This window comes from Homo sapiens, chromosome X (genome assembly GCF_000001405.40).
Source record: "Homo sapiens chromosome X, GRCh38.p14 Primary Assembly".
Lineage (NCBI taxonomy): Eukaryota > Metazoa > Chordata > Mammalia > Primates > Hominidae > Homo > Homo sapiens.
In genome coordinates, this window is record NC_000023.11 from 129,816,186 (window position 1) to 129,830,526 (window position 14,341).

A 14,341-nucleotide genomic window follows, 5' to 3' on the forward strand; every position below is an offset into this window, starting at 1 on the left:
CTGCATCCACAACTAAACCTAGATCAAAAATACGGTATTCACAAAATATGAAACTCCTGGAGACGGATACAGAGGGCTGACTTCATATCCATGGGTTCCACAGGGCCACTGCAGGACTTGAGAATGCATGGGGTTTGGTATTCAAGGGCAATCCCTGAAACCAATCCCCCAAGGATACTTAGGGACGACTGTATTTTGGATCCGCATTTGGTTGCAGATGAGGAACACACTGATACTGTATTTATTGGAAAAAAAAAACCCTCATTATTAAGTGGGCCCATGCAGTACAAAACTGCATTGTTCAAGAGTCGACTGCACATAAAACAAAAACAAAAAACAAACAAAAAGGAAATAGGGCAAAAACTAATAAATACCATAAAACCTATATTTAATATTTTTCCTAGTCACCAATAATTCATTGTAATACTAGTAAAATAATAGCATATTTTATGCCTATCAAAATAAGAATATAAATAATAAAATCCAGTGCTAGTGAGAATAGGGTAAAATGGACACTCTAACATACTGCTTGTGGGAGCATAAAATGAAAGAACCTTCCCAGAAAGCAATTTGGCAGTACGTATCAAGAGCCTTCATAAAGCTTGTACCCCTTTGGTAGAATAAGTCCATTTTCAGCAATTTCTCATAAGAAAATAGAAATGTACACAGAAATTTTAAGTTCAAATTTTTATTTTTATTTATTTATTTATTTTTGAGACACAGTTTCACACTTGTCACCCAGGCTGGAGTGCAATGGTGCGATCTCGGCTCACTGCAACCTCCACCTCCCAGGTTCAAGCCTCATCAGCTGCCCGAGTAGCTGGGATTACAGGCATCCGCCACCACGCCCAGCTAATTTTTGTATTTTTAGCAGAGACGGGGTTTTGCCATGTTAGCCAGGCTGGTCTCGAACTCCTGACCTCAGGTGAAATGCCCGCCTCAGCCTCCCAAAGTACTGGGATTACAGGCATGAGCCACTGCGCCCGGCCGAAGTTCAAACTTTTAAATTAAATTTTGTATTGTTTGGAAGGCCCAGGCAGGGGAATCATGAGGTCAGGAGTTTGAGACCAGCCTGGCCAACATGGTGAAACCCCATCTCTACCAAAAAATGCAAAAATCCGTGGGTCGTGGTGGTGCACACCTGTAATCCCAGCCAATCACGAGGCTGAGGTGGGGGGATCACTTGAGCTCGGGAGGCGGAGGTTGCAGTGAGCTGAGATCACGCCACTGCACTCCAGCCTGGGTGACAGAGTGAGACCCTGTCTTAAAAAAAAAATCTATTATGGTAAAATATACATAACATACAATTTGCCATTTTAACCATTTTAAGTGTGCAATTCAGTGGCATTAATTACATTCATAATGTGGAACCATCACCATTATCTATTTCCAAAACCCTTTCATTACTCCAAACAGAAACTCTGCACCCATTAAGCAGTAACTCTCCATTTCCCCCTTCCCCATCCCCTAGCAATCTCTAATCTTCTGTCTCTATGAATTTGCCCATTCTAGATATCTCATATAAGCGGAATCACACAATATTTGTCTTTTTGTGTCTTTTTTTTTTTCACATAGCATGTTTTCAAGGTTCATCCACATTGTATCAGTACTGTATTCCTTTTTATGACTGGATAATATTCCACCGTATGTACATACCACATTTTGTTTAACCATTCATCTGTTGATAGACACTTGGGTTGGTTACACCTTTTGGCTACTGTGAATAATGATGCTACGAACACTGGCGTACAAGTAGGTTTTGAGTCCTTGTTGTCAATTCTTTTGGCTATTGTTATGGAATGAACTGTACCCCCACTCCCCAGTTCCATATGTTGAAGCCCTAACCCCCAATGTAGCTGCACTTGGAGGCAGAACCTTTAAGGAGGTAGCTAAAGTTAAATGAGGTCATCTGGATGGGGCCCTAATCCGATGGGACTGGTGTCCTTGTAAGGAGAGGATGAGACACCAGTAGTGTGTGAGCACAGAGAAAAGGTCACGTGAGGACACAGCAAGAAGGCAGCCATCTGCAAGCCAGGGGGAGAGGCCTCACCAGAAACCATCCCTTCTCGCACCTCTATCTTGGACTTCCAGCCTCCAGAATTGTGAGAGAAAAATTCCCATTGTTTGAGCCAGCCAGTCTGAGGTATTTTGTTATGGTAACCCAAGCAGACTAATATAGGTATACACCCAGGAGTGGAATTGCTGGGTCATGTGGTAATTCTATGTTTAACTTTTTGAGGAACCACCAAACTTTTCCACAGCAGCTGCATGATTTTACATTCTCACCAGAAATGTATGAAGGTTCCAATTGTTCCACATCCTTAAGTTTAATAATTATGATTGCAGTGTTACAACAATGAATAAAATAGAAGAATGAATAATGTCTAATGACAGAAGACTGCCTGAATAAACTTGAATAGAACCATATGATGGATTATGCAGTCATTAAAATAATATATTAAAGAAACATTTATTAAAGATGTAGAAAAACGCTCAGGATAGAATGTTAAATGACAAAAGCAGGATTAAAAACTATCATGTTACAGTCCAATTTTGCAGAAACACTAGTAGGAAATATAGCAAAATGGAGAGTGAATTTAGGATTAAGTTTTATTTATACTTTCTGCACTTCCCATATTTTCCACAATGAACATGTGTTATTTTGATGAATAAAAGACTACAAAAGAATAAAATACATCAATTTGGGCCAGGCGTGGTGGCTCACACCAGTAATCCCAGCACTTTGGGAGGCCGAGGCAGGTGGATCACAAGGTCAGGAGATAGAGACCATCCTGGCTAACACGGTGAAATCCCGTCTCTACTAAAAATACAAAAAAATTAGCCAGGCGTGGTGGCGGGAGCCTGTAGTCCCAGCTACTCGGGAGGCTGAGGCAGAAGAATGGCGTGAACCCAGGAGGCGGAGCTTGCAGTGAGCTGAGATCGCGCCACTGCACTCCAGACTGGGAGAGAGAGACAGCCTCCGTCTCAAAAAAAAAAAAAAAAAAAAAAAAAGAATAAAATATATCAATTTGAAAGAAAAGTGAGCTGTGTACTGGTGAAAAAATAAGGCTGTAAAAATGGTCTATCTCCTGCTGAGGAAGCTACATCTTTTCAGGAAAGGGAAGAAAGGTATAGAGAAGAATGGTTATACAGATATATATTTTTTACAGTATTTTAAATCACATTTTTTCTGATAATACAAGTAATACATGCTCATTGTAGAAAACTTGAAAAAAATAAAAGGAAAAATGAAGAAATCACAGTAGTGGAGGATGGCATATGAAAAAATGAAGGAAACAAAATCACTCATAATCCCACAACCTATAGATAATAAACTATAAAAATTGTGGCATATTTCCTGTATTTCCTTGCATATTTCTTTATACATCATTAGATTTTTTAAAAATAGGTAACTGACTTCACACTGTAAATGTAGCCTATCTCCCATTTTGTCATTTAGCTTTCTGGTATGAACTCTTTCCATCAGTCTAATGTACGAATGTCCTATTATTTATTTATTTATTTATTTAGAGACAGAGTCTTACTCTGTCGCCCAGGCTGGAGTGCAGTGGCACAATCTCGGTTCAATGCAGCCTCCACCTCATGGGTTTTTTATTCTCATGCCTCAGCCAGGGTCTCAGCTGGGATTACAGGCACATGTCACCACGTCCAGCTAATTTTTGTATGTTTTAGTAGAGACGAGGTTTCACCATGTTGCTCAGGCCGGTCTCAAACTTCTGGCCTCAAGTGATCTGCCCACCTCGGCCTCCCAAAGTGCTGGGATTACAGGAGTGAGCCACCACACCCGGCTCTATAATTTATTTGGCTACTCATCTATTGGTAGACAATTAGGTTCTTTTCAACTTTTAATTGTCATAATAATCCTGAGTTAAACATTTCCACCCCGAAATATTTTCCCACATCTCTGATTTCATGGGACAGACTCCCTAGAAAGTGAACCACTGGCACCAAAAGGTATAGATGTTTTAAGGCTTTCGATTAATCTTATTAGATTGCCTTCCAAAAAGTTTGTTCCAATTTACACTCTTACTAGTGGAAGAATAAACATCAGGTTTTCCTTGCTAATTTTCTAGATTTAAAAAAGCATATTGGGCTGGGGGTATTGGCTCACACCTGTAATCACAACACTTTGGGAAGCTGCAGCAGGTGGGCTGCTTGAGCCCAGGAGTTTGAGACCAGCCTGGGCAACATGGGGAAAACCCATCTCTACAAAAAATACAAAAAAAAAAAAAAAAATAGCCAGGCATGGTAGTGCATGCCTGTAGTCTCAGCAACTTGGGAGGCTGAGGTGGGAGGATCACCTGAACCCAGGAGGTTGAGTCTGCAGTGAGCTGTGATCGTGCCACTGCCCTCCAGCCTGGGAAAAAGAGTGAGATCCTATCTCAAAACAAAAGCATCCTGAAATCATTTATTTGACTATTAGTCATGATAACTAGCCAATTATATTGTTATGAACTGTTTATATTTCTCCTGGAATATCAGTGCTTTTTAAAAAAATTGATTTGTATGAGTTCCTTATAGTTAAGAGTATTAATAAGGAAAGGAAATACTACCTCACATCAGACCTTTTTATTTTACTTAAGTTCTGGGGTACATGTGCAGGATGTGCAGGTTTGTTACATAGGTAAATGTGTGCCATGGTGGTTTGCTGCACCTATAAAGCCATCACCTAGGTATTAAGCCCAGCATGCATTAGCTATTTTTCCTAATGCTCTCCCTCCCTTCCCCACCCCTCAACAGGCCCCGGTGTGTGTTGTTCCCCTCCCTGTGTCCATGTGTTCTCATTGTTCTCGAAAGAAGACATTCATGCAGCCAACAAATATATGAAAAAATGCTCAACATCACTGATCATTAGAGAAATGCAAATCAAAAACCACACTGAGATACCATCTCATGCCAGTCAGAATGGCGATTATTAAAAAGTCAAAAAACAACAGATGCTGGCAAGGTTGCGGGGAAATAGGAACGCTATTGTTGTTGGGAATGTAAATTAGTTCAACCATTGTGGAAGATGTGGCAATTCCTCAAAGATCTAGAACCAGAAATACCATTTGACCCAGCAATCCCATTACTGGGTATAGACCTTCTTCTTTTTTTTTTTTTTGAGATGGAGTCTTGCTCTGTCACCCAGGCTGGAGTGCAGTGGCGCGATCTTGGCTCACTACAACCTCCGCCTCCCGGGTTCACGCCATTCTCCTGCCTTAGCCTCCCGAGTAGCTGGGACTACAGGCGCCCACCACCACGTCCCCTAATTTTTTGTATTTTTAGTAGAGATGGGGTTTCACCATGTTAGCCAGAATGGTCTTGATCTCCTGACCTCGTGATCCTCCCGCTTTGGCCTCCCAAAGTGCTGGGATTACAGGTGTGAGCCACCGCGCCTGGCCAGACCTTCTTTAAATATCAAGTTTCCTGCTTCACTTAAAATGGGTTTCGACAGCCGGGTGTGGTGGCTCATGCCTGTAATCTCAGCACTTTGGGAGGCCTAGGTGGGTGGATCACAAGGTCAGGAGTTCCAGACCAGCCTGACCAACATGGTGAAACTCCATCTCTACTAAAAATACAAAAATTAGCCGGGCGTGGTGGTGTGCACCTGTAATACCAGCTACTCAGGAGGCTGAGGCAGGAGAATCGCTTGAACCCAGGAGGTGGAGGTTGCAGTGAGCCGAGATCATGCCACTGCACTCCAGCCTGGGTGACACAGTGAGACTCCATCTCAAAAAATAAATAAATAAAATGGGCTTTGACAATAGATGCTGATGAGGCTGTGGAGAAATAGGAACACTTTTACACTGTTGGTGGGAGTGTAAATTAGTTCAACCATTGTGGAAGACAGTGTGGCGATTCCTCAAGGATCCAGTACCAGAAATACCATTTGACCCAGCAATCCCATTACTGGGTATATACCCAAAGCATTATAAATCATTCTACCATAAAGACACATGCACACATATGTTTATTGCAGCACTATTTACAATACCAAAGACTTGGAACCAACCCAAATGCTCACCAATGATAGACCGGATAAAGAAAATGTGGCACATATACACCATGGAATACTATGCACCCATAAAAAAGGATGAGTTCATGTCCTTTGTAGGGACATGGATGAAGCTGGAAGCCATCATTCTCAGCAAACTAACACAGGAACAGAAAACCAAACACCGCATGTTCTCACTCATAAGTGGGAGTTGAACAATGAGAACACATGGACACAGGGAGGGGAACAACACATACTGGGGTCTGTCGGGGGGTGGGGTGAGGAGGGAGGGCATTAGGACAAATACCTAATGCATGCAGGGCTTAAAACGTAGATGACAGGTTGATAGGTGCAGCAAACCACCATGGCACATGTATACCTATGTAACAAACCTGCACATTCTGCACACGTATCCCAGAACTTAAAGTAAAATAAAAAATAATAATAATAATAAAATGGGTTTTGATTTATAAAAATCTTATATACATATAGTAGCTTTTTAGTATACACGCTGCCGAAGAGAGCACCATATAGCTTTTACCATATAAAGCAATATATATCTCCCAACCTTTGCCTAAAGAAATGGCTAGTAAGAGGAAAGCAATGCCCTCAGGATGCCACATGGTATACAGAAAAAACATTATCCAATCATGGGAACTCAAGAAAAAGTAATTTTAAAAAGAACATTAGAAGTATGCCTAGTGATGATATAAGCAATTTCACATATAGGCCTATCAACAGGAATCTTTATGGCCCATTTCTCATCTTGGCCAGGGTTTAGCACACAGTAGGCAGTGATTACAACAAAGCCACATATATGTGGATGGAAGTACAGACCACTGTATTAGACACACATATACCTGACCCTCTTGCAGCAGCAGCAAAGAGAAGAAATAAGCAGTTTGGAATCAGACCTGCTCTAGCTTAATCTCATACTAATTATGTGAACTTACATACTGGTGCTTCACCTATTTCCTCATCCGTAAAATGGGGATAATACCAATCTCATGGGGCTGTTACAAGTCTTAAATGAGAGAAAGGTAAATCACTTAGCACAGTGCCCAATATGTAGTAGAAACTCAATAAATGCTAGCAACTTTCCTCTTCTTGGGTTGCGTCTTAGACAGACCTTCCTTCCTCAATGCTGCCCTCCAGTGGACTAGGTGTCTCCTCCCACTATGTAAGGTGGGTCCCACATGAAAATCCAGTACAGGAAAATCTAAATTTCAAAAATAGGTAAAGTTTATTTTTCTCATTTACTAAAGAGGTTTTTGTAAAGTTTAGGCTAGAGGATATTTAAATTTTGATTTGATCTACACAAGTACAGCTGATTTGCAGTTTTTCAGGAGCTTGTTGCCTATCTAAATTTCCCTATCTAAATCTAGTTCATTTCTCATCTAAATCTATCTTCCCTCCTCCCAAAATTGGTGACCACCCTGACTTTCTAGTTCAACTCAGCCTTTTCCCTAGGCAATGTCCCTGTAGTTTTACTCACCCACACAGTTGTCACAGATGCTGCAATGGGAGGCCCGGGGAGGCCGGAAGATCTTGCATGTGTAACAGTATTTCAGTTTCACAATCTGGTTGTTTATCTGGAAATTCTTGATACGAGGCGGTGGTCGCTGGCCCTGGGGCACCGCACCATTGGTAGCTTCTGTAAATCAATAAAGACAGTTAATATCACAGCTAGCCATCACTTGAGCCCAAAAGTCTCACCACCTCTCCAAAACCAATGGGGGCATTCAAAGGTTCCCCAAGCCCCCTGTCTTTTATAGACTAGACACTCAACATCACAGAATATGCCCATAAAACTCCACTAAGTGCATGCAGTTCTGTTGTATACATAAGAAAAAGTGTTTCTTCGAGGCTTTTTTTTCTGATTACAAAGAAAAACATTCATTTAAAAAAATAGCTAAAAATACATTAAATGAAAACATCCAATTTCACTAATAATCAGAGAAATAAAAATTAAAGCACAAAGATACCATTTTTACCTATCATATTAAAAAACATTACAAACAATAAAAATACCCCATGTTAGCAAGGGTGGGGAAAGGTCATTCTTAGATCTTATCAGTGAGCAATATGGCAGCTGCTACTAAACTTTTTTTTTCTTTTAAGATGAAGTCTCGCTCTGTCGCCCAGGCTGGAGTGCAGTGGTGGGATCTCAGTCTTGGCTCACTGCAATTTCTGCCTCCTGGGTTCAAGTGATTCTCCTGTCTCAGCCTCCTGAGTAGCTGGGATTACAGGGGCCCACCACCATGCCTGGCTGATTTTTGTATTTTTAATAGAGATGGGGTTTTATCATGTTTGTCAGGCTGGTCTCAGACTCCAGACCTCAAGTGATCCGCCCGCCTCAGCCTCCCAAAGTGCTGGGATTACAGGTGTGAGCCACCGTGCCCAGCCAGCTACCAAAGTTTTAAACGTGTATATTCATTTACTGATCAAGTCTACTTCTAGAAACTTATCAAAATTATAATGAGATATACGAAAGATGTTTATATAAGGATATTTGTCACAGAGTTCCTTTTAATAGTGAAAAACTAAAAATAACTTCAATGTCACAATAGAAGGGTGGTTAAGTAAATTATGTTATGTGCATAGAATGGAATATTATGCAGCCGTTAAAAATGACATAGACGAAAGAATGGTGAAAACAGGAAAATACAATATATGGCAAAATGAAAATGTATGTTAAAAAGCAATACGCATAAAACAATACTATCTTGCAAACAAAATATATGCATGTGAAAAGAAAAGACTGGTAACACAGAAACAGTTACTGAAATAAAAGTAATGCTTGCTTATTGTAAAAATTTTGGAAAAAAACAGAATAGGGCCAGGCATGGTGGCTCACGCCTGTAATCCCAGCACTTTGGGAGGCTGAGGCAGGCGGGGCACCTGAGATCAGGAGTTTGAGACCAGTCTGGCCAACATGGCAAAACCCCGTGTCTACTAAAAATACAAAAATTAGCCAAGCATGGTGGCACGCATCTGTAATCCCAGCTACTCTGGAGGCTGAGGCAGGAGAATCGCTTGAACCTGGGAGGCAGCCTGGGTGACAGAGCGAGCAAGACTCCAACTCAAAAAAAAAATTTTTTTTGGAAAAAAACAAAGTATAAATAAGAAAACATAAAAATCACTGACAGTCAGTCTCTCAGCTCAGAGATATTTATATTTTTTGGCGTATTTCCTTCTAATCTTCTATTAACAGGTAAACATTCATAATTTTTAAAAAATTGAGATCATATTATAAATGCAGATTTGTACCATGAAGTATTTACTTAATATTATATGCTGTGAACATTTTCTCATTGTTAATTTTTTTTCTAAAACATAACTACTGGCAATATTCCATCATATACGTGTACTATGATTTATTTAAATATTCCATATTGTTGGGATTTTTTACTATTTAGGTGATGTTTCATGTAAAAATTTAAAACATTACAGAGAAAAGCTTAAATCTCCTTCGATCACCACCTCAATCCTAGTCCCCTCCTCCCTTCCAAGAACATACTCATGTGTTAAAATTAATTTCTAAAACAGAAAGAATAAAGAAAAGAATGGTGAAGTATAAGCAGTAATACATGAAGTTGCCGGCATTAAAATAGCTACTCATATTTAAAAGAAAAGAAAAAATGATGCACCAAAAATCCTTCTACAGTAATTTGTAAAAATCTGTTTATCTCCTTTAGCTAAACCCTCAGAGAAGTAGAACTACTGGGTCAAAGGGTATGACCCTTTAAAGTCCATATTACTTGTTGCCAAACTGCTTCCCAGACAGACCGTATGAATTTGCATGCCTGCCCATCCGCAGCATATGAGAGTGCCTGTCTCATTGCACTCTCACCATGCAGTATAATTCTAAAAACAGAATATTTTTCAATTCACTTTGATTTTAAAAATATCTGCCATATGGAACATTTTTCCTTTTTTTGTGGAGTGGGGTAGATGCTGTGAAATCAAACAATAACAATGTGTCACAAGTCTTAAAAGGATGAGGACAGCTATTCATTAGAGGATAAGTACCAGCATGCCACCTTAATATTCTATGCATATGCTTTCCATGAGGGCACCTGGGAGACAGGGTTCATGGTTCACCTTTCTCAGGAGGCCGTATCAGGCAAGGGCATCACATGACTTCCTCTCTCCCCATCCCCCACCCACAGCATACCCAGTACAGGACTGAATATAAGATGACAAAAACTTGCTAACATAAACATACATATGAACTGAAAAATGTACTCTTCTAGTGAGAGAAACATGCTAAATGCAGAGGCCACAATGTGACTGCTTGAGTCTGAGCCCCAGGCCCAGTGATCAGGCAGAAAAGAGCTAACTTTGTTAACAACCTGCTGTGAGAGGCAGGAGACAAGTCAAGGTACTGCCTTGACCCTCAGTTTCTCCATATGTGAATGGGAAGGGAACTGGAAAAGAATAATCCAGATGGAGAAAAAACAGCACTCACAACTCTTCCTCACCATCTTGCTCCTAACTACTCCTAGTTCTATCGGGTCTCCCCAGAACTCCAGCTGTGCCAGCACACGTCGCCTCTGCTCTCTTCCCACTATCCCCACCCTCACCCCACCCCCAAATAGTTATAGCTCACATGTGCACAAACCCATTTCTCCTTAGCTCAACTAAAACAGGCTGGAATTTTTCAAAATGAAATCCATTAAGAAGCCTAAGGGAAAACACAGCTAAAATAAACAAAAGAAATACATGGGCCGGGCGCAGTGGCTTACGCCTGTAATCCCAGAACTTTGGAAGGCCAAGGTGAGAGGATAACTTGAGGTCGGGAGTTCAAGACTAGCCTGGCCAATATGGTGAAACACCGTCTCTACTAAAAATACAAAAATTAGCTGGGAGTGGTGGCGGGTGCCCATAATCCCAGCTACTCTGGAGGCTGAGGCACGAGAATCACTTGAACCTGGGAGGTGGGGGTTGCAGTGAGCTGAGATCACGCCACTGCACTCCAGCGTGGGGGACAGAGTGAAACTGTGAAAAATAAAAAAGAAGAAAGGAAGGAAAAATAAAAAAGAAGAAAGGAAGGAAAGGAAGGAAAAAGGAAGGAAGGAAGGAAGGGAGGGAGGGAGGGAGGGAAGGAGGGAGGGAGGGAGGGAAAGAAAAAGAAAAAAGAAATACATGGAAGCCTTCAAAGCACCGTCAAAGAACTAAAGGCTAGCCACAGATTGGTGCTCTACTGGCACAGCTTCTTAGTCTTACAAGTCCTGGGTCCCTTTTTCTTACTCTGTCTAGCTTGGATGCTGACTCAAGCTACCTGGGTACCAAACCTGAGAACCATTTAGGTAGGCACTGCTGTTGATCTGGTGGGCTCCCACTCCCTCCTAGTACTTGCATCATAGTCTTCTTTCTCACTGTGAGATCCCAGGATATCTCCTCCTCTGGCCCTGGGATGGTTCTGCTTCAAATCATGAAGCCACCCTGGCTCCTAGATAATGTAGCACTTCATCTCTGTACCAAAGATCCTTATCCTGAGCTGCAGTATGCACTCTACTGAGCCTGCAATTGCTTCTTTTACCCCTCCTAGAATTCTCAGTGGTTCCTGGCACCACAGCTGCCCCCTTTCACATTGCATGTTCCCCTAAAGCAGCGTTTTTTGTTTGTTTGTTTTGGTTTGGTTTTTTGAGATGGACTCTCGCTCTGTTGCCCAGGCTGGAGTGCAGTGGCGCAATCTAGGCTCACTGCAACCTCCGCCTCCCAGGTTCAAGCGATTCTCGTGCCTCAGCCTCCCGAGTAGCTGGGATTACAGGCACATGCCACCATGCCCGGCTAATTTTTGTATTTTAAGTAGAGACAGGGCTTCACCATGTTGGCCAGGCTAGTCTTGAACTCCTGACCTCAAGTGATCTGCCCGCCTCAGCCTCCCCAAGTGCTGGGATTACAGGCGTGAGCCACAGCGCCCGGCCTAAAGCAGGAATTCTTGGTTGGGGGGGACATGAATGAACTTCAGAAGATCTATGAATCCCTGAAATTACATACAAAATTGTGTACATGTACATGCATATAAGAGCATTTTTATGGGGAGAAGGTTTACAGCTTTCATCAAAAAACCAAAAAGTGGCTCTTGAGCCACTTGCTCAAGCCCCCTCCCACTCTGTGGAGTGTACTTTTGTTTCAATAAATTTGTGCTGGCCAGGTGTGGTGGCTCACGCCTGTAATCCCAGCAATTTGGGAGATCAAGGCGGGCGGATCACAAGGTCAGGAGATCGAGACCATCCTGGCCAACACAGTGAAATCCCCGTCTCTACTAAAAATACAAAAATTAGCTGGGTGTGGTGGCATGTGACTGTAATCCCAGCTACTCGGGAGGCTGAGGCAGGAGAATCACTTAAACCTGGGAGTCAGAGGTTGCAGTGAGCCAAGATCACGCCACTGCACTTCAGCCTGGTAACAGAGCCAGGCTCTGTCTCTAAATAAATAAATAAATAAATAATAAATCTGTGCTTTCATTGCTTCAGAAAAAAATGTGTTGGTGACCACCTCCCCCAAAAAAGTAAAAAACCATCCTCCTGGGAACAATACAGCAGGACCTTGGTAACAAATCCTTCCTGAAATGTGACCAAATGCAGTGAAGGACAAAGTCTATGACTTTAGACTGTTGCTAGACCTGCATTACTAAATTCACGGGGTAGTCATGATCTCAGATTCAGGATCTCAGAGAGAAAAGGCTAGAAGTGATTATTAATCTGCAACTACTATTATGATTCCATTCTCTTACTGATTAGGGCCACCCACTACACAGCAGCTTGCCAGCTGGTTGGAAGACTCACCTATCTCCATTTCTATGAAAGCTGCTTCATCTGGTAGCGCCCGAGGAATCACTCCAGGGTCACTGAAGCTGGTCCTCAACAGTGTAGCCATGGAGAAAAGGAAGAGCATGGCAGCAAATACAGGGATGGCAGGAGACAGCTGAACAGCCAGGTAGCGGCACCTGAAGAAAGCAGGCAATTCAGCATTTAATGATACCTACCCTATATTGATCTCCAATTGTTACCAGTATGTCAATCTGGCCCCCACAACAGAATCAGCAGCACCTCAAGGGCAGGGACCATGTTTCTTCTCTTGAATTACCCCAAACCCCTAACATATGGCTTTACCCATAGTAGGAGCTCAACAAATAATTGACTGCTGCCACCTATAACATACAGAAGACACGCTTGAGGACACTCTCTTACCCCCAAGTCCAATCTATCCTATCAACCCACTGGGAGCTACATTTCCTCTACCTCAGGAAAGGTTCACACCTGCTAAGAATAGGGAAGCAACTGAACCTGGATTTCTAAGCAACACAGGTTGATCTCACTCTGGGAATGTCCAGGGCTTCTCATAACCACTGATCTGGCATTCAAGCTGAGCTTGATGAAGAGGGAGAAAAGATGAGGACCAACCAGAAAGCAGGTTCACAGTGTCAGACAGAGAGTATCTCAGCATGCTTCAAGACCAGTGAAAACCTTCAGGGCTGTTGACTGACTCTGCAACATCCATTCCTCTGGTCTCCTCAATTAGCTCAGCTAATAAGTGACTAATGACCATCAGCAAGAAAATAAGAAAATCGTTTATCCTTAGTACCCCTTCCCAACATCATGTTCACTCCCCTCTTTCCTCATAATGCATCTGGCAAGCTATTTCTCTTCCTCTCTGAATATCCCAACTCTACTCATCTTTCAGGTGCCAGAGACATCAATATCATTGTCATCATTGCAACTATAATTTATTGAGGGCTCTCCATAAGACAGGCACTGCACTAAGCTCTTCATCTACATTATCCCATCCAATTCTCACACTAAATCTATGAAATAGATCCTACTATACCCATTTGATAGATGAAGAATCTGAGACTTAGAGAATTCTTACCTCCTCCAAAAGGCTTATGCTAAGCTGCACTAATCTCTCTCTTCTCTACTCCCTGTGGTCCTCACTTCCAGAGCCTTGCATTATTTCCTAGCTATTTCTCAGTATGTTGATGGCATCTCCCTCAACTGGACTTCCTAAGAGCAAGGACCTAGTCTTATTGGACTGGGAATGCTCCGGTTTGAATTCTGGCTCTACCAGCTCCTAGTTGGGTGACTTAGTTAACTTCAGTCTCCTTATCGATAAAATGAGGATAATAACAGTGCTTGATGAGGTCATTGTGTGGATCAAACGCACTAGTATAAATAAAGTGCTTAGAACTGCACTTGACACACAGTAAATACTAAACACTAAGTAAAATGTTAGCTATTAACATTAACACCATGATTCTGTATCTCCCAGAGCTTTAATACAAGTAAGGGAACAAAGAAGCTATCAATAAATACTTGTTGATCTGAACTGAAT

The 14,341-nt window shown here is 41.9% G+C and overlaps 1 protein-coding gene across 4 annotated transcripts in view; it reads right to left on the reverse strand.

The window, feature by feature from the left end:
- Positions 1 to 14,341, reverse strand: part of ZDHHC9 (zDHHC palmitoyltransferase 9) — a 40,599-nt gene that overhangs the window by 12,898 nt on the left and 13,360 nt on the right. For 3 of the 4 annotated variants that reach the window (NM_016032.4, NM_001008222.3, XM_047442151.1), the window contains 2 exons: positions 12,796 to 12,956; positions 7,494 to 7,652 (listed from right to left, as the gene is read on the reverse strand). In NM_016032.4, coding sequence (NP_057116.2) covers positions 7,494 to 7,652; positions 12,796 to 12,956 — 320 coding nt within the window. Of the gene's footprint in view, positions 1 to 5,956; positions 7,218 to 7,493; positions 7,653 to 12,795; positions 12,957 to 14,341 lie in introns of those variants that run through there. The other variant, XM_011531348.4, reaches the window with a different exon arrangement.